Raw genomic sequence first — 20,327 nt, 5'->3', positions numbered from 1 at the left:
TGCAAAATGAGTTGCTCTTCATCCTTCTGAGGTGAATTAATTGACTCGTCTGAATTCTTTCCTGCCAGCAACAAATATTTGTTGAGGATGGCTACATGCCAGATATTCTCCCGGGTGCTAGGGATAAAGCAGGAAATAACACACGCAAGATCTCTGCTTTCACAGAGCTTATTGTCTAGTTGGTGGAGGGGCAGTCACATAATAAATTACCAAATGGACCAACAAAATAAATACTTAGCTACCTACAAAGTACTGCTAGTGATAAGTTAATCGATGAAAAGTAAAATAGGATGCAGTAATGAAGCAGAGTCAGGAAATACCTCTTCCTTAGAGAGAACATTCAAACTGAGATCTGCGATCCTGAACATGTAACTATCAGGGAGGTGAGCATTACAGAATGTGGGAACAGTTACTGTAAATCCCCTATGGTGGGAACAACCCTTGCATTTTCAAGGAACAGAAAGAAAAACAATGTGGCTGTAGTAGAATGAGCAAGGGGTGGTAGGAAAGACAACTAAGCAAGAGTGAGGTCATATGGGGCCCTGTAAGGTAAGTTACAGGGTGGGACTCCTGTTTGCAATGGAAGTCATTAGAAGATTTGAAATACAGAAGTGTAATGAGTTGGATTTTGTTTTGAAAGATACCCTGAGATGTGTAATTTGATATCTTAGAAAGGCAAGAATTGAAGGAGTTGCAGGCTTTTGCAGTAGTCCCCAAAAAAGACGATATTGTCTTAGACCAAGATGGTATTAGTAAGAATGCTGAGAAATGGTTGTATTCAGGTGACACTGACTTGCTGATGTATTGACTGGAGGCCAGAGTGGTCAGGAAGAAAAAGAATCAAGGACAATTCCTGGATTTTGGCCTGAAAAACTGGGTGAATTGTGGTAACATTATTGAGATGGAAATGACTAGAGAGGAACTGATTTGGGAAAGGAAACTTAAAAGCTCTGTTTGGGACATGTTATATTTGACATGATTATTACATAGAGGAAGGCACAATTAAGTAGGCAGTTTACATATCAAGTCTGAAGTTTCAAGGCTATGGAACTGGTTGAGATCACCTGTGAATAATTGAAAAAAGAAGAGGCTCAAAAGTGGAGTCCTGGGACTCTCCAATGTTTAGAGGTTGGGAAGAGAAGAATCCAGCAAAGGTATTTAAGAAGCAGCAATGAGTTAGAGAAGAAACCCATGAAAGCCTGTGGTTCAGAAACAAGTGAAGACAGTGAGTCAAGAGGGAAGGCATGACCAAATACTGCTAAGAGAACAAGTCATTTAAGGACAAAGGTGTGCCCACCAGATTTGGCAATATGAAAATCACTGACATCTTTGACAAGAGCAGTCTCAGTGAAATAGTAGAGATGAAAGTCTGACTGGAGTGAGTTGGGGAAATAGAGATGGGGAAATAGATGCAATGTGTATAGATTATTATTTGAAGAAGTGCTATGAAGGGATTCAAAGGGAAAGGGAGGTATTTGACCACATATTTTTTGAAGATGGAAGATACCAGAACATGCTCATGTGCTCATGGTAATGATCCAGGACAGAAGAAGAAATTGATGATGTAGGAGAGAAAATATATGATTAGAGGATCGAAGCCCTGATAGGGATGGAATCTAAAAACTGCATGGAGGATTGGCTTCCTTAAAGAAATAACACTTCATTTAAGTCATAGGAGGTAAAACTTCACATACAGGCAAAGGTGAAGGTGTGTGTATAGGCGGGTTGATTATGGAAAGATGAACAAGTTCTTTTACTTTCTCCATAAAAATGAGGCATGATCATCAGCTGAAGAGGGATGGAGGTCGGATGGTGTCATGTAGGAAGTTTAAGAAGAAAAGCTATAAAGCAGCCATTTTGTACAATGGAAAATTAAAAACTATTGCTCAAAAATATGATTCATTTAATTGTAGGAAGGCATCTGTCAAATACGGTGGCCTTAATTTCAGAAAAGAGATGTTAAAGTATTCTTTCTGATGATGATTAAGCAAAAGATACTGCTCAGATTGCTCCAGGTTTATGATAAAAATGTTATCGACAGAAAAAAAACACCTGGATTTGTTTTTGATTTGGGGCGACTGAGCAGATATCCTAAAGTGAATGGGGAAACTAGATCTCAGCCACAGGCACCCCTGTAATAATTTGCCCAACCAGCAATAGGTATTTTGTTTTTCTCTAAATCTTTGCACTAGTGGTAATTTTTGTATGCCAGGTCTTCTTCTGATACTTGACCCTGACAACTGCATTCAGGGCGTCTCACTGAGATCTATCTAGAATGATTCTTTTTTTAAGTGTAAATTATCTCAAAGGGATTGAACCTAATGAAGGTATAAGTAATTTCATCTGAGTTCCATTTGAGGCCTTGTCTTCACAAACATTGCCAGCTTGTTTTGGCTTTTGTTAAATCGTTTTATCAAACCACGAGCTGCGTTTTGGCCAGACATGGAAAGGTTTCAACCTATCTCCAATCTGTTGGTATGAAATAACAGGAAAAGCCTCTTTCCAAAAATAATCTGAGTGAAAAGTTAAAAATTATGGAGCTCCCCAAAGATTCTTGCGCATTTAGATGCAAACTCTGCCTCAGTCTGCCTTCTCCTAGCCTGCCATGGTATCCTCCTTCTTATGGGTGATCTAGTAAGGGATAAAGTATTTACTGCTGTGGAAAATCCACACTAGGGAGTCCTAACACACCCTGGGGCCTGGTTAGGGCAAATTCTCTCGAGGAGGTGACACTTGAACTGATTTTGGGGGATGAGGTGGAATTACATGAAATCTCAGCAGAACGAAGGCATGGAAACACTAAACAGCGCAGAGTGTGAGAAGAACCACAATGAGGGGAAAGGAGTTCAGTGTTGCCAGAGTATAGGATGTGGAGCAGAAGGAAAGAAGGCTAGAGAGGTTGGCAGAGGGCAGGTCTTGCTAGGTATTGCAGGGTATTATGGGTAAGATGGGATATGGAACCTGAAAGACTGAAGCATGAAGCCCAGGATTTAGGTTTGAGCTCCTAGCCCAATGACTGGGCCCAAGTGATAAGGCAGAAGGAAACCTGGGAAAATGAGTAGGATTTGATCATGTATTGGTTCAGGTTTGTCAATGAGCCCTACATTGTAAATATGCTTCACATACAGGAGGGAGGAATTTCCTCAGTGGGTTGACAGAAAGCCCTGTTGGGGAATAGGAAGAGCCTCCATCTTTGGAGCCATGCAGGCAGCTGACTTGAATCTGCGAGGGCTCAGGAAAATGGTGTCTGTCTTTGCTGAAGCCACATTCCTATTAATGGAATGAGGCCTAGATGGTAGCTTAGATCAGAGGTTCTAAATTGGTAGCCCATGGACCAAATCTCTCACAAGTTGGGGCTGGCTCGCCAGTGTTTTAAAATTTGATTTTAGTGTTTTTATTCAGCTCTCCAAAGCCCTTGCTGTTGGCTATTGTTTTACACTTGCCCATCTCACACTTTACCTACTATTCTATTCAGCTCCCTGGGACTTTTGGGTTTCCAAGTCCTAACTTAGAATGAAAAATGAAGACGAAATCTTGCCAGAACCTCAATATCTCTGACTCCGAGACAAGTCCAGGCAACGTAACTTCCAGAAGCTAGCACTCGGGAGGTGGGAGGTGGAAGTTGTTTTCAGAGCAGCAAGAAATTGGGGAGGAAATTCTTTGCAGCCATATTGGCAGGGTCTTTCCTTTCTCAGGAAGGCAGAGGCCAGGGTGGGATGGACCGCAGGACTCCAGGAAAGTGCTTTGGGGATGTTAGCCTTGCTGCAAGATTTAATTTTATGTGGAGATGATCACAGAATAGGTAGTTTGTGGCCAGGAGCAGTGGCTCATGCCTGTCATCCCAGCACTTTGGGAGGTTGAGGTGGGCAGATCATCTGAGGCCGGGAGTTTAAGACCAGCCTGACCAACATGAAGAAACCCCATCTCTACTAAAAATACAAAATTAGCCAGGCGTGGTGGTGCATGCCGGTAATTCCAGCTACTTGGGAGGCTGAGACAGGAGAATGGCTTGAACCCGGGAGGTAGAGGTTGCGGTGAGCTGAGATTGCGCCATTGCACTCCAGCCTGGGCAACAAGAGCGAAACTCCATCTCTCTCTCTCTCTCTCTCTCTCTCTCTCTCTTCTTCTCTCTCTCTCTCTCTCTCTCTCTCTCTCTCTCTCTCTCTCTCTCTCTATATATATATATATATATATATATATATATATTTAAAGAATAGGTAGTTTGTGTTGAGGGGCTGGAGGAGGATTTCTAGTCAATGGTGTTTGTGATGGGATGCTAGCGGTGTAGAAAGGCCCTGGATCCAATGCTTTTACCTTAAATGAAAAAAAAAAAAATTAAATTGTAGTTAAATGGAACAAGAGAAAATAATGTGAAAGTACAGTTGACCCTTGAACAATACAGGCTTGAACTGCTCGGGTCCACTTACATGTGGATTTTCTCTGTCTCTGTCACCCTTGGGGCAGCAAGGCCAGCTCCTCCTCTTCTTCCTCCTCCTCAACCTACTCAACATGAAGACAACAATGATGAAGCCTTTTTGATGATCCACTTCCACTTAATGAATAGTAAATATATTTTCGCTTCCCTGTGATTTCCTTAGTAACATTTTCTTTTCTCTAGCTTACTTTATTGTAAGAATGCAGTATATAATACATATATCATACAAAGTATGTGTTAATGGACTGTCTATGTTATCAGTAAGACTAACGGTAGGCTAACAGTAATTGAGTTTTGGGAGAGCCAAAAGTTATACATGGATTTTTGACTGTACAGGTGGTTGGTGTCCCTAACCCTTGTGTTGTTCAAGCGTCAACTATAGATATAAGCAGAAGGTAAAATCTACTATAATTGAATTTTTAAAACACTAGGATTTCAGCAGGTTCTTTTATCAGAATTAAAATAGTTGAGGGGCCAGGTGTGGTGGCTCATGCCTGTAATCCCAGCACTTTGGGAGGCCAAGGCAGGCGGATCGCCAGAGGTCAGGAGTTCGAGATCAGCCTGGCCAACGTGGCAAAACCCTGTCTCTACTAAAAATACAAAAATTAGCCGGTCATGGTGGCGTGTACCTGTAATCCCAGCTACTCAGGAGGCTGAGGCAGGAGAATTGCTTGAACCCAGGAGACGGAGATTGCAGTGAGCTGAGATGGTGTCACTGCACTCCAGCCTGGGAGACAGAGCAAGACTCCATCTCCAAAGAAAAAAAAAGTTGAACGCTGCTTAAAAAATCATGTAGAGTTTTGGGGTTTTTTTTGTTTTATATTTATTTTTTATTTTTGCTTTTTCAAGGGCAAATTCCTGAATGCTGGGGGGAGATGCTGTTTCTCCATGGTGATGGAAGACATGTTTTGTCTCTTCAGATTTAGGCTGCTGCCAGAGACACCGACTGTAGACTAAAGCAGGGAGAATTAGCTCCAAAGCACTGGGACAGAGGCCATCTGCTTGTGAAAGCAGCTTCTAAGAAAACATACCTGTTCCCCTATCCCTTCCTGCTCCTTCCCACAGGTCACTTGCCTTAATGGTGTTTGCCAAGAGAGCCATACCTTTGCCTTTTCTCATTGCATTTGTTTATCTGTTTCAAATTCTGTATGCAAGGCCCATTCTAATTGAGTCAATAAAATAAAATTCTCTAGGAGTCTGGTTGTTGTGTTATGACTTCCAAGAGTCCTTGTTTTTGTTCTCTAACTACAGTTATGTATTGTAATACCTTTATGTTGTCTCTCTATTTTAGCAGGAAGGGTGCCACTCAATCCCCAGTGACAGATGAAGAAGCAGTTGTAGCTTCTGCATTGCTGTTTCAATGATACCTTTAGCTCTGGATAATGCCCCTGGTTATGTATGTTGCTCACAGCTTCAGTGCACATACACACATACACACACACACACACACACACACGTATATGCTAGACACTGAGCATGAGTCTGTGCCCTCCTATGTGGGTCAAAGTCTATACACTGTTAGGATGGGACTGTACAGTTTTAATATGAGTCTTTCGGGTTAGGCTTTAAGAAAAGAAGAAGAATCTGCTTGGCTTGTGATTATTGAAGCCAATGTTTTTAATGCCAGAACTGATTCTTCTACCACTTGTGACTTCTGTTTGAAAGTTGCTATTAAGGTCTTAAGGAAAGGATTTTCCCACACACATGTTTCTGAATAACCTATTCTGGTCAAGTTCACAGTCTTGACCTGCCACCATGTTTCATCCTACCTGGTCTGGGTGCCCAGAGACCTGGAGCATCTGAGCTGGCAGGATGGAACTTCTTGTGCCTGGGCGTGCCAAAACTTTTCCTTGACACTGAGAAAGACAATGAGGCTCTGAAGCCAGAAAATGTCTCGGTGAGTTGAATAGTTACATAAATGTCATTGACAATCATTGAATTTTAAAGTAGAGTTGTACACTTCAAAAATGCTACAGAATTTGTATGAAGCATAGGACTTGTATAATCTTGGCAATGGCTGATTTTTTGATGCGAAGTTCAGGAAGCTTTATTTCTCACTTAAGTTCTAGATTATTCACATCCCCTCATTATTATTTACTGCTCTGTGTTGAATGGAGAAAGGCCTCTCCTTTATTGTGTTGCTTACAGCTCCAAAGCTGGAACTTAGATTTCATTTTATTTTACTTTAAGTTCTGGGATGCATGTGCAGAACATGCAGGTTTGTTACATAGGTATACATATGCCATGGTGGCTTGCTGCACCTATCAACCTGTCATCTAGGTTTTAAGCCCTGCATGCGTTAGATATTTGTCCTGAAGCTCTCCCTCCCATTTCCCCCACCCCCTTACAGGCCCCGGTGTGTGATGTTTCCCTCCCTGTGTCCATGTGTTCTCATTGTTCAACTCCCACTTATGAATAAGAACATGTGGTGTTTGTTTTTCTGTTCCTGTGTTAGTTTGCTGAGAATGATGGCTTCCAGCTTCATCCACGTTCCTGCAAAGGACATTAACTCATTGTTTTTATGGCTGCACAGTATTCCATGGTGTATATGTGCCACATGTTCTTTATCCAATCTATCAGTGATGGGCATTTGGGTTAGAACTGAGATTATTAAGCTTTGTCACTATGAGGCTCACCCAACTGCTTACTTAACATCTGTTTGGGCTAATGCCCCATTTCCCAGTTCCAACAGGTCACTCGAAATAGTGCTTCTGCTAGGAACTCCCTCTCTGCTCTCTTACCCTCTCCCAACTTCTCAGCACTACTGACAACATAAGAAAAACCATTCTGGAGTGGCTACCCAGGGTTTTCATCACCATGTTATCCCCAAATAAGCCCAAATAAGTTTAATTAACAATGAAGTTAGTTAGTACAGAAGATAACATTTCCCATGTATATTAGTTGGCTAGGGCTGCTGTGACAAAATTCCACACCCTGGGTGGCTTATGACAACAGAAATGTATTGTCATATGGTTCTGGAGGCTGGAAGCCCAAGATCAAAGTGTTTGCAGAGTTGGTTCCTTCTAGGGATGTGAGGGAGAATCTGTGCCATGCCTCTCCCTTAGTGTCTGGTGGTTTGCTGGCGATCTTTAGTGCCTCTTGGCTTATAGAGGCATCACTCTATCTCTGCCTTCATTTTTTCATGGAGTTCTCCCTATGTGCATGTCTCTGTTTCCAAATTTCCTCCTTTTACAAGGACACCAGTGAGGTTGGTCTAGGGCCCACAATACTGACCTCATTTTAACTTGATTACCTCTGTAAAGACTATCTCCATATAAGGTCACATTCTGAGGTCCTAGGGGGTTGGAACTTCAACATATGAATTTTGAGGCATACTCAATTCATTTCACAACACCATGCTACCCAAATTTACTCATCTGGCCATCTTCCAGCTCCTCAGAGGTGGCAGCACACTTTCCCTTCCTCCTTGCTCTAGCTGAGGGCATTGCCCCCGGGCCTATCTTTGGTGTACCTTTTCCTGGGTGATCCTGCCAGACTGCATGGCCAGAAAAAAAACAGGGGAACTTTCCCTGTCCTTTTCCTTCTCATTTCATCGTTTTCTTTTCTTTTTTTTTTTTTTTTTTTTTTGAGACGGACTCTCGCTCTGTCGCCCAGGCTGGAGTGCAGTGGTGCGATCTCGGCTCATTGCAACCTCCGCCTCCCGGGTTCACGCCATTCTCCTGCCTCAGCCTCCCGAGCAGCTGGGACCACAGGCACTTGCCACCACGCCTGGCTAATTTTTTGTATTTTTAGTAGAGATGGGGTTTCACATCGTGATCCGCCCGCCTCGGCCTCCTAAAGTGCTGGGGTTACAGGCGTGAGCCACCGCGCCTGGCCCATCATTTTCTACTTTTCTGTAACTTGGCTGTACCAAATGCACTTCTGACCTCCCCAGGAAGCTCCCTTTCCAAATATCTGTAGTTAACCTCTTCCTTGCCTTCATGGTGCCTCTTCTGTTAGGCTTTGTTCTTTTCTAGAGGCACATCATGTTTTGGATATCACTCTAAGGAACCCACCACCAGTTTTAGCCACATTGACCAAATTGACCAGTTGCTTTAGGTATGTTTTTGAAAAAATATAAGGAGAACTTTCCGCCCTCAAGAGAATCACTTTTGTCCCCTGTTGCCCAATAAGTTATTAAAGACTAAGAAATTATATAAATGGTATATAGTATCTTTATGGAATTATGTGATACATTAACTTGGGGCTCTGAACAAGTCCAGCGGAATAGAAACCAGTTTAACTTTTTTCCAGAATTCTCTTACTATGAAATTTTTCAAAGAATTATACAGTCAACACTCATATACCAACCAACTAGACTCCACAATTAATGTTTTTGCTATATTTGCTTTATTCCAGTATATCCAACTATTTATCCCTCTCTCCATCTATCAATCTCTCTTGATTTTTGATGCATTTCAAAGTAAGTTACAGACATCATGACATTTCATCCCTAATTATCTTAGCACATCTATTCCTAAACAGCTTTGTTTAAATCAGCATTTCCTTATCGTATATGAACACAAATAAAACACATATTTTTATTCACATCTATTGGTGACACCCAAATTTTAAGCTCCACAGGGCAGACTTTGGGCTAGATGCTTTGGGGTCATAAAGATACTACCTCTGTAATGAAATCTCAGTTTATGTGACATTGCCACCCTGTCTCATTTGGGTTGATCACAGACTGAAAGGGGCCTAATTTAATCACCTTATTTTATAGATGGGGAAAGTGAGTCCCAGAAAGGTGGGGACTCTTGTCTGAGGTTATGCAGCCAGGAGGTGGCCTTTTGGGCATAAAGCTTTTTCTACTGAAGGGCAAAGACCTGGCTTCTTCTTGACCAGGTGGTGTTTTCATTTGGTTCTGGTCCTTGCACACTGCTGACTACCTTAGTCTTTGTTTCACAGGTTCTTGTTGGGGCAGACTCACTAGGCTCCTAGAAGATGGAAGCAGGGCCAGGCTTTGGCATCACTGAATGACTCCTTTGTAATTTTATTTCTTCCAATCACTGATTACATCACACTCAGACTTCTTTTCCTTGGCACCTCCCACATGTTGTCCTCTTTTTCTAGATTTCCTAATCTGTCTTCTCCTTTCTGGTGAAAGGGGATGTTTTCCTGGAGACGTAGTCAGCATACTCTATAGCAGACTTCTAACCCTCTTCATAACATTTGTAACACCCATCACAAAATGGGATCTGGGGAGGGGGTCACCCAAAGCAGAAATGGTAGCTCTTCAGTTTTATATTCTTCCTTAAAGATGCTTGTGATTCTAAAAATTGTGTTGGTAATCCGTAGGAGGGCTACTATCATAGTAGTGAAATATTTCATCCTCAGATCCCCATCAAAGAAATGATCATGGTATTTTAGAATAACTGAGGGAGTACAATTGCTTAAGGAAATGGATACCCCATTTACCTCAATGTGATTATTACACATTGTATGCCTGTGTCAGAATATTTCATGTGCCCCATAAGTACATCCACCTACTATGTACCCATAAAAATTAAAAATAAAAAAGGAAATGATCATGGCATCATATAATTATCTTCTATACTTAAAAAAAAATTTCTTGAGAGTATGTTTATGCATACACACTTCCTCTAATTCCCAGAAGGATTTGAGGCAGGTAAATTAAAAGTTTAATTTTATTTAACAGTTTTTATAATGAATAATATAGCACACAAACCCGAGAAAGACAAAGCTATAATTTCTGGGTTTGATTCCTTTATTCATGGGAGACTATGTTGAGATAAAGCAAAAACAAATTTTGTCTTCCACGATTACAATACATAAAAGATAGTCAACTCCTTTCAAACAACAAAGGGTAGAGACAAAAGCTTGGTTATTAAACAAGACTCATTATGATTGCTGACATTTTAGAAAATGCAATCATTTGCATATAAACTGTGATGAAGAGACAATTTTTATGGTTTTAGACATATTCTGAAAGACCTTGGAAGGCAATCTCATTCTAGTATCTCAAAGCGGCTGCATCTGGAGAAAGGTTTCTATGGCAACTTATGAAAGCTTGATGTTTTTTATCTTTTTCAAGAGCATAAATCATCCCACAGCCTGAGGCTTCAGTAAAGGTCTCCATTATTTTACAAGCTATTGCCATTTGTTTTCATGTTATATATTTTGATTGTCTTAGAGGAAAGAGAGCAAAGGTTATCATGTTTCCGAGAAGGCTTGGAGTCTATTTTCTCTTTTTTTCATTTTGTGGGACAAGACATGAATAACATCATTCTAAACATTGCTTCTCAATGATCAAAATGATGGTACACATTGCAATATTTGGTTTATGTCACGTGTTGTTTAGATTTTCCCCAAAATTGTGACTGGTGCATTCTCAGGAAGACAAGCCAGTTTGAACTTAAGGAGGAGGAACTATTTGGCCAAAACACCTCCTAATATGTAGTTCAGTAGAGATGCCCTGGAGAATGCTGCACTGTTCCACATGCCTGCAAATATTCCTCTAATGATACAGTCCCAAGGCTTTGGACATTGATAGACTCCAGGTGATTTTTATCAACATATTCTTTCCAAGAAAGTTAATTTAAAAATTCTGATTTTAAAACTCTGCATGTTTCAAGAATTTTGTTTTAGCAACATGGATCTCTGTATGTTATAGGAGGTAATAAGGCTGAGGCAACACCCATTAAGACAAAGAAACAGAACCAGGTTTCAGACCTAGCTCTGCCATTGCTAGGTGTATAACTGTGAGCAAACCCTTGAATCTCTTCGAACCTCCTTTTACTAATCCGAAAAATAGGAGTAACGGTGCCAGATTCATGGCATTATTGTTAAGGATTGAATGCGTGTGAGTGCTGGGAACTGTGCAATGCTGTACAAATGTAAGGTGGTTATTACTGTTGGCTGACTGTCTTTCTTTCCCTTTGAAAAAGTCAAAAGTTTATGTTACCATTTCTGGATGACCAGAGGAAATCAGTTTCAGTATGTCTTAAGTATTTTAGTTTCTTATACTGTATTTAAAATACTTATACAGACACTGATCACTACAGCCATTTATTTATTTATTTACTCAGTAATCAAATGTCACCCCTGTAGAAGGGTATTAAATAAATTCATTCAACAAACATTTAAGTGCCAACTGTGTACTAGCATTGAGGAGACAAAGAATAGACAATTAAATTCTTATTGTTCAGGAAATAAAAGTTTTCTGAGCTTCAAGGCCACAGCATAAGCTGTTCAGGTGGTGCCCTGCCCAAGGGCATTCGGCTGATGAAGTAGAAGGGGGATGTAATGCAGTCCCCCACTCTGCCAGCCAAGCCGTTTGCATGCACCTTGTGAGCTGCATTCGCCTGAATGAAGGACATGTTTTGGAAATTTACTAGCCAGGAGTGTGTGCCTTCTTGCAATTTACACGAAGGCATGCATGAATGTGCTAGCAGTGGCCCTGATGCTTGTATGATCCGTGATGTTAAAGGGAAGATTTGCAATGTTTCACTGTGAAATATGATGAAGGCTGCTGGCGTGCTTGTTATCTGGAGTCAGATTGCCTGAATTTGAATACTGGCTCTGCTACTTGCTAGCTGTGTGACCTTTGTGCACATTACTTGGCCTCTCTATGCTTCATTTTCTACATCTGCCTGCCTCATAGTTATTGGGAGGATAAATAAGTTCTTAAAACACATAGAATAGCAGCTGGCACACGGTCAATGCTCAAAATGTTAGCTGTTTTCAGTGATGGCTTTACTGTTCAGGGTCTCCTTGCTACTCTGTGTTGAAAAGTTCAACAATTAACATCTAAATTCTACCTACAAAAACCACTTTTCTTTTATGAATTTGATGTCAAATTGGTGATATTTATCTCCTTACCTCAGATCTTTTTGGTGTGTGTTTGTGTTAAATAACTAGAAAGTATTCTCTTCAGAGAAATCAGAGAATTCCAGTTATTTGATGAGAAGATGACTTGGTAGTTTTTAGAATTTTCTCATAAAACCACTGCTTTGTCAGAGTGATAGAGGTGATGAGGGATGTTTGCATATTATTGGCTTTTATAATCCCAGCACTTTGGGAGGCCGAGGCAGGCAGATCACCTGAGGTCAGGTGTTCGAGACCAGGCTGGCCAACATGGTGAAACCCCATCTCTACAAAAAGTACAAAACTTAGCCGGGCGTAGTGGTGCTTGCGTGTAATCCCAGCTACTTGGGGAGGCTGAGGCAGGAGAATCACTTGAACTCAGGAGGCAGAGGTTGCAGTGAGCCAAGATTGCGCCACTGCACTCCAGCCTGGGTGACAGAGTGAGACTTCGTCTCAACAAAACAAAACAAAACTAAAACAAACAAACAAAAATGACAACAACAACATAAAAAAAAAAACAGTCCCAAGGGAATGCCTATATAGTTTACCAGGATTACAATAGGGATTCTTTGAGGTATAGTGAATTTCATTGTCAATTTTGGTTAACATGATTCCCTCTCTCTCTTTTCATAACTTTAAACTGGGAAAGAGTCCTTATGTAGTATTTTCAAGACTATTAACTTTGCATTTTAATTTTTTAAAAAAGTTTTGTTAAATATCAAATTTTGATATGAAGAGTGTGAAACAGATTGACAAAGCCAAGCATGAGGCAGGTGGTGATTTTGATTTTACCCCTCCCTTTGTATTCTGGCTCCTCTAACTGCCCTTAAGACACTGTAAAGAGGGCACTTCTGTGTTACTGCCACTGTGTATTTCCCAGTCTCCCACAGCATCTAACTTGGGCCATTTTCTTGGCAAAAAACTAAAAGTGCAGAATGCTAATCATGTTGTACATCACTGATTTCTAAGTATTTAAAAAATTTGGGTGTCTACTCGTAATTGAGATTGTCATCACTTTTATGAAACCTTTTCCAAGTAAACTTCTCAGAAGAGAGATGCAATATTTTTATAATTTCATAACATCAAATATTAGTCTACCATTATTTGTGTGTGCTGTGCTATGATTATTCATCCAAGGGCCTGTCATGGGGACATAGGGACTGCTTCTGAAAGTGCCAAATTACCATTTGGTTGTGAGATTATAATTGATACTGCATGTTAAATTCAAGTGTCATTAGCTTTTTAAAAAGATGAAGTGATGATAAGCTTGCTCCTAAATTGTTTGCAAAGGTTAAATATCTAAGAGAAAAGCTGGTATTTAAGATTCTTATATTTAGTCAGATAGTAGAATGTTTTAAGACACTTTATATCAATCAGTGTATATGTAGAGTTACTGTGTTTTTAATTTTTTGTTTTTTGTCCAAGGGTAGTGGCTAAGAGTTCAGGTTTTGGGTTGAACTCTGACTCTGCCACTTACTAATTGCGTAACCTACAGTTAAGTCACTGAATGTCTCTAAGCTGCCATTTTTTCTTTTTAAAATGAGGATAATAATATTCCTCAGCATTGTGGTAAGGATCAGTTGAGCTTTTTGTGTAAAGCGCTTCACCCAGACCAAAGTGCTTCATGAGTTATGATGGTGGCTGTTATTACTCTGGGCATTTTATTTTATTTTATTTTTTTAAGACAGAGTCTCACTCTGTCACCCAGGCTGGAGTGCAGTGGCATGGTCTTGGCTCACTGCAACCTCCGCCTCCCAGATTCAAGTAATTCTCCCTGCCTCAGCCTACCGAGTAGTTGGGATTACAGGTGCCCGCCACCACACCCGGGTAATTTTCGTATTTTTAGTAGAGACGGGGTTTCCCCATGTTGGCCAGGCTGGTCTTGAACTCCTGACCTCAGGTGATCTGCCTGCCTCGGCTTCCCAAAGTGCTGGGATTACAGGCGTAAGCCACCGTGCCTGGCCAGTATTTTCATTTTTAACAAACAAATTGTTAATTGCATTATATCAGGAGATTATTGCATAAGTGTTTAAACAGTGGCGATTACATTGTCTAATGTTTTAAGGCAAATGTATTTCTGCTACTGTATGATTTTTTTTTGCAATAGTATTGCACTCAAAAATTTTCATACTTCCCAGAGGATATACCATCTCTCATATTTTTGTTTCTATGGCAAAATGTATTAAAAGTTCCAAACAACCAACATAGAAAAGAACTCTTGGGAAATAACTGTCTTTAGGTGAGGGATGCTCTGTAGAGTTCATTGTTTGCTTAGTCCTTGAGCAGTCAAACTATTAGTCCTTTTATCAGTCATCATTGAGGGAGGTTTTTGAGCTACCTCTTCTAGACAATCTTAATCACCTCTTGACCAGACTCCAACTCAGTTTCCTATGTACCCTAAAATTCCCTCCTTCTAAATTGCAGTGACTTCCCTAAGCCACTGATATTTGGACCAATTTTTTTTTCAGATCAATTTCTGTCAATTGATTTCCAACAAGCCTCTTGACTACCCCCTATGAACATTAGTGAGCTAAATTGTAAGTTACTTCCAGCAACATATTTTTGTGTTGCCCTTTTTAAAGATATTTTTGTAATTTTCTGTTTATAATTGTTTAAGGTACATGAGCATAGAGAACTCCGTTCAATGATTTGATAAGTCTTTTGTTTGTTTTAATAACTGTTTATATTTAACATCAGATATTATTGGGTAAATGCATTTACTAAAAGACGGTACCTTTTGTGGAATATAAAATGCTAGTGTATACAAGTAACGATGTATTTCCTTCTGAACTCTTTTGTTTAAGCCTCAGCATGCTCAAGCGGTTTATCTAAATTCAGTGATAATAGCTGTTACTATGGCTGCATGTTATTTCATTTGTTGAATTGATGCTTGGTAAGAAAAATGTCATTGAATTGTTTGCAATTTTGAATTTAAATAGAAGTGGTTCTTTTTCCTTATGGAGGTAAAATTAGGAAACTGGGGTTATAAATCCTGTGCCCTGTATTCCTAAATCAGGGTTGTGCAATGCTTGTGTGCACTGCATGGGGTTCATGGACTTTGGAACTGTTATCCCATCAGCAACTGGAAGCATTGGCTCTGCCCCCGGTGACAGGGATGGGAAGATGGATTAACTCAAATAATGAAATGTCAAATCAGCCTCTCTATAAAATGGGAATTCCTCCTTTAAGATCACTGATAGACGGTGACTAAAGCCTTGGCTTTTCATTATGGTTTTTAATGTGGGCTCATATTTTATGTTATATGGATTCTTATAAACCACAACATATAAGTGTGTCTTAAAAACAAGCTGATCCAAAAAAGTGAGAAATATCTTTTGAAGTGTAATTTCTCTTTGTAGCAAAAATTGGAAGATGCAATCAATGAAGAGGATGGCCATGGGGGTCCGGGGAAGACAGTGTTGTATAATGGCTGTGAATACAGATGCTGCAGTTAAACTGGCTTTGTCACCTACTCCTTATGCGACCTTGGTCATCTCTTTGGGCTTCGATTTTCTCGGCCATAAAATGGGAATGTCAACAGTACTTATCTCATGGGGTCGTAGAAGTTCATTGAATTAATTTATTAAAACACTTAGAACCCAGTATAATAAGAGTATTAGCTATTTTATAGGAATCTTTTTAATTTTGCAGTAGTGGTGTCTAAAAGTCACAGAACTATTATTTTTGAAAGACAAGATAGAAGCGGTTTTATTTACGTTGTAAGGCATGAGAGCATCTTGGCATGGCCTTAATATTTGGTCTCATAAAGCAAATGAGGAAGGTAATTGGAACTGAGCACATTCAGCCCACTCATCATGGGAAGAGCACCAGATTTCTGTTCTCTGAGAAAGCTTGCTAAATTCTGTAAGAGTGCTTTTAAAAAAAAATACAGTATTTTAAGAGCTTTGAGGTCAAAAACTACATCCAGGATGGATTAGTACCCCAAACTTTATACATGTACTCCACACTATGCTTTGTCCTTTGTCAAAATGTATTGAACTCTGCATTAATGGATGTATCAGTCAGGGTTCTCCAGAAAGACAGAACCAGTAGGATACATAGAAGAATACATTTACTGGGGGAATTGGCTCCCACCATCACACAGATAGAGGAGCCCCATGATAGGCTGACTGTGAGCTGGAGCATCAGAGAAGCTGGCTTAGTCTGGAAGCCTCAGAACCAGGGAAGCTAATGGTGCAGCTCCCAGTCCGAGGCCAAAAGCCCGAGAGCCCACCGGAGGTCACTGGTGCAAGTCCCAGAGTCCAAAACCTGGAGTCTGATGTCCAAAGGCAGGAGGAGAACAAGCATCCCGCTCCAGAAGAGAGAGTGAGGGCAGAGACAGAGAGAGTCCCCTCTTCTTTCACCTGTTTGCCCCTGCAGGGCCCCAGCCGATTGGATTGGATGGTGCCCACTACATTGAGAGCCGGTTTTCCTCTCCCAGTCTGCCAACTCCCATGCCAGTTTCTTCTGGAAACACCCTCACAGGGACACCCAGAAACAATGCTTCACCTGCCATCTAGGTATCCCACCATCCAGTCAAGTTGACACCTAAAATTAACCATCACAATGGGTAAAGTTTATTGCATGTACATTTACCTCAGTAAAGCTGTGGGTTTTTTTAAGAGCTAAATTCATGGTGGTGAGAATGTAATAGGCATTCACTAAGTATTTTTGACTAAATTAATAATTAAATTAGTCATGAATGGAATTATTTCATTCTTCAGTGATGGGTCATATCAGGAAATCCAGATGCATAAGGGGTCGAATTTTACCTCCTTGATTTTGAAACTTTACGTCAACTTCTAAAAGTCCAACTTTAATAGTAAATCCCAGTTCCTGGCACACACTTTGAAGGCCCACTGTCCCTCAGTTTACCAGTTTTTCATATTTACCCTGAGAATGAAGTCAGTGACTGGACTTAGTCCTGTGTCTGCAACTCATATATTTCTCTTGAGCATGGCCTTGTGTTCTCATTTATGTTATCAGACATGCAATTTAGTCATTAAAATAGACATTTTGATATAGTGGCAGAGGATGTGTTTAAGATTTGAGAAATTTACTAAAAAATGAAATCCCTTTTGTCGTTTCCAGAAACATCAGACTCTGGGCCTCTATTGACAAACCGTATCCACTTGTAAGTTGAATGTAACAATAGGCGGTGCACGTGAGCCAGCATGGACTTTTCTCATTGGCTGTTAGCATGAGGAGCTTGTCTGGCATCCTTGTATTTGATCCTGATGTCTTACTGTCTTTTCTCCCAGGTATGGCAGCAGCCAAACTTCTGCATGACTCTGGACTGAATGTGGTTGTTCTGGAAGCCCGGGACCGTGTGGGAGGCAGGACTTACACTCTTAGGGTAAGGCATTAAGAATCCGGAGGACAAATGTGGGACTGAAGCTGAGTTTGGGGTTTCATTTTTGTCTTTTTCCCCAAAAGTCTTCAATTTCATTTGACTCTAAGAGGGTGAAAATAACTCTGAAACATTCTTCACAGCCTCTCTCCCAGTTTGCCTTCCTTTCAATTCTTCTGTTCCTTTTTGTCTTTTCATCTCATGATATTTGGCCTCATAGAGTTAGGATTGAGTAAGAGGGAAATGGACAGATATGTGTGTGCCTCTGTGTGTGTGTGTGTGTGTGTGTGTGTGTGTGTGTGTGTGTGTGTGTGTGTGAGACAGAGAGAGAAATAGGAAGAAAAATAACATAATTATATGTACTTTCCACTCCTAACTTCGATGCTTCCTTCACACCAACACAATCATTCTAATCATACAAACTAAACTTTTTTGGAGAGACTTTCTCCCATTTTTAAATTTATTTTTTAAATTTTATTTTAACAAATCATAATTGTATTACATTTATGGAGTATAATGTGATGTTTTCACCATATGTATACAATGTGGAGTGATTAAATCAAGCTAAATTAACATATTCAGCACCTCACTTTCTTGACATTTTTTGTGGTGATACATTTGAAATTTACTCTGTTATTTTGAAATGCACAATACATTATTATTACTACAGTTACTGTGCAATGGATTTCAAAACTTATTCTTCCTGTCTAGCTAAAATTTTGTACCCTTCCTGTCTAGCTAAAATTTTGTACTCCTCATTCCCTCAGTTCTCACCCCCCAGCCCCTGATAATATTCATTTTGCTCTCTACTTCTATGAATTCAACGTGTTTTAGATTCCACTTATAAGTCTTTCTGTGCCTGGCTTATTTCACTTAGCATAATGTCCTCCAAATTCATCTATGTTGTCCCAAATGACATTTCTTTATTTTTAAAGGCTGAATAGTATTTCATTGTGTGTATATACCAAGTCTTCCTCATCCATTTATCCACTGATGGACACTTAGGGTGATTTCATATCATGGCTACTGTAGATAATGCTGCAATGAACATGGGTGTGCAGATATCTCTTTGACATATTGACTTCAATTCTTTTGGATATATTCCCAAAAATGGGATTGCTGAATTATGCGGTAGTTCTATTTTTAGTTTTCCATTTTTAGTTTTCTGAGGAACCTCCATACTGTTTTCTGTAATAGCTGTACTGATTTACATTCCCACCAATAGTGTACAAGGGTTCCCTTTTCTCTTCATCCTTGACAACACTGATTATTTTTCCTCTTTTTGATAAAAGCCATTTTAACAGGTGTGAGGTGATATCTCATTTTGGTTTTAATTTGGATTTCCCTAATGATTAGTGGTGCTGAACTTTTTCCATGAACCTGTTGGCCATTTGCATGTCTTCTTTTGAGAAGTGTCTGTTCAGTTCCTTTGCCCATTCTTTAAAAATCTGGTTATTTGTCTCTTGCTATTGAGTTGTTTGAGTTTCTTATATAATTTGGATATTAACCTCTTATCAGATGTACGGCTTGCAAATATGTAAAGAAAACTATCATTTTATTAATTGTTCTTTTGCTGTGCAGGAGCTTTGTAGTTTGATGCAATTCCATTTGTCTGTTTTTGCTTTTTTTCCTGATCTTTCAGGGCCATATCCAAAAAATCATTTCCCTGACTAGTGTCATGGAGCTTTCCCCTTGTTTTCTTCAAGTAATTTTGCCGTTTCAGGTCTCGTGTTTAAGTCTTTAATCTATTTAGAGTTGATTATTTGTATATGGTGTTTGCATATGGTATAAGATAAGGGACTACTTTTATTCTTCTGCATGTGGATAGTCCGTTTTTCCTGCACCATTTATTGAATAGACTGTCCTTTCCCCATTGTGTGTTCTTGGAATCTTCATCAAAACTCAATTGATTGTAAATGTGTGGGTTTATTTTTGAGCTTTCTATCCTGTTCTATTGGTTGGTGAGTCTGTTTTTATGTCAGTACCATACTGTTTTGATTAAAATTGCTTCATAATATATTTTGAAGTTGGGTAGTATAACGCCTTCACCTTTGTTCTTTTTGTACAAGATTGTTTTGGCTAGTTGTAGTCTTCTGTAGTTCCATATGAATTTAAGGATTGTTTTTTCTGTTTCTGTGAAAAATAACATTGGCATTTTGATGGGGATTGCACTGAATCTATGGATCACTTTGGGTAGTATGGACATTTTACATTATTAATTCTCCCAATCCATGAACATGGATGTGTTTTTATTTATTCACATAAACTAAACTTTTACCTGCCTAATTTTCCTTCTTGTTTTTGCTTCAGCTTTTATTTTTTTAAAAGAATTATTTACCAATTTATAAATACCCTTATTTTAATTGCTGGTTAATTGTTTCAATTCTGACACTGTTGCCTAAAATTAATGATTTTCTATTTAAACACAGAGTCAAGCAAAGCAAGTTTCTCTGCAAGGAAATGCCCTACTTCCATACATTCAAGATCTGAATAATAGATATAGAAGCTACAGAGTATTTTCATTTCCAGAGAGATAAGACATATAAAATTCTGACTCACAGCTCTTCTTTTGGAAGGATTCATCAATGATATATATCTGACATTTTGTACTCATTCTTTTTTTTAAATTATACTTTAAGTTCTGGGATACATGTGCAGGGGTGGGATCTGCTGAGCTAGATCACTTGGCTCCCTGGCTTCAGCCCCCTTTCC

General features: G+C 39.7%; 1 protein-coding gene across 2 annotated transcripts in view; it reads left to right on the top strand.

Annotated features, from left to right (window-relative positions):
* The window catches only part of MAOB (monoamine oxidase B), a 115,841-nt gene that overhangs the window by 21,160 nt on the left and 74,354 nt on the right, over nucleotides 1–20,327 (top strand). Inside the window, exons 1-2 of one of the 2 annotated variants that reach the window (XM_017029524.3) lie at nucleotides 17,375–17,399; nucleotides 17,527–17,621. In XM_017029524.3, coding sequence (XP_016885013.1) covers nucleotides 17,529–17,621 — 93 coding nt within the window. In that variant the 5' untranslated portion in view covers nucleotides 17,375–17,399; nucleotides 17,527–17,528. Of the gene's footprint in view, nucleotides 1–17,374; nucleotides 17,400–17,526; nucleotides 17,622–20,327 lie in introns of those variants that run through there. The other variant, NM_000898.5, reaches the window with a different exon arrangement.

This window comes from Homo sapiens, chromosome X (genome assembly GCF_000001405.40).
Source record: "Homo sapiens chromosome X, GRCh38.p14 Primary Assembly".
Taxonomy (NCBI): Eukaryota; Metazoa; Chordata; class Mammalia; order Primates; family Hominidae; genus Homo; species Homo sapiens.
This window is presented reverse-complemented; position numbering and strand designations above follow the sequence as displayed.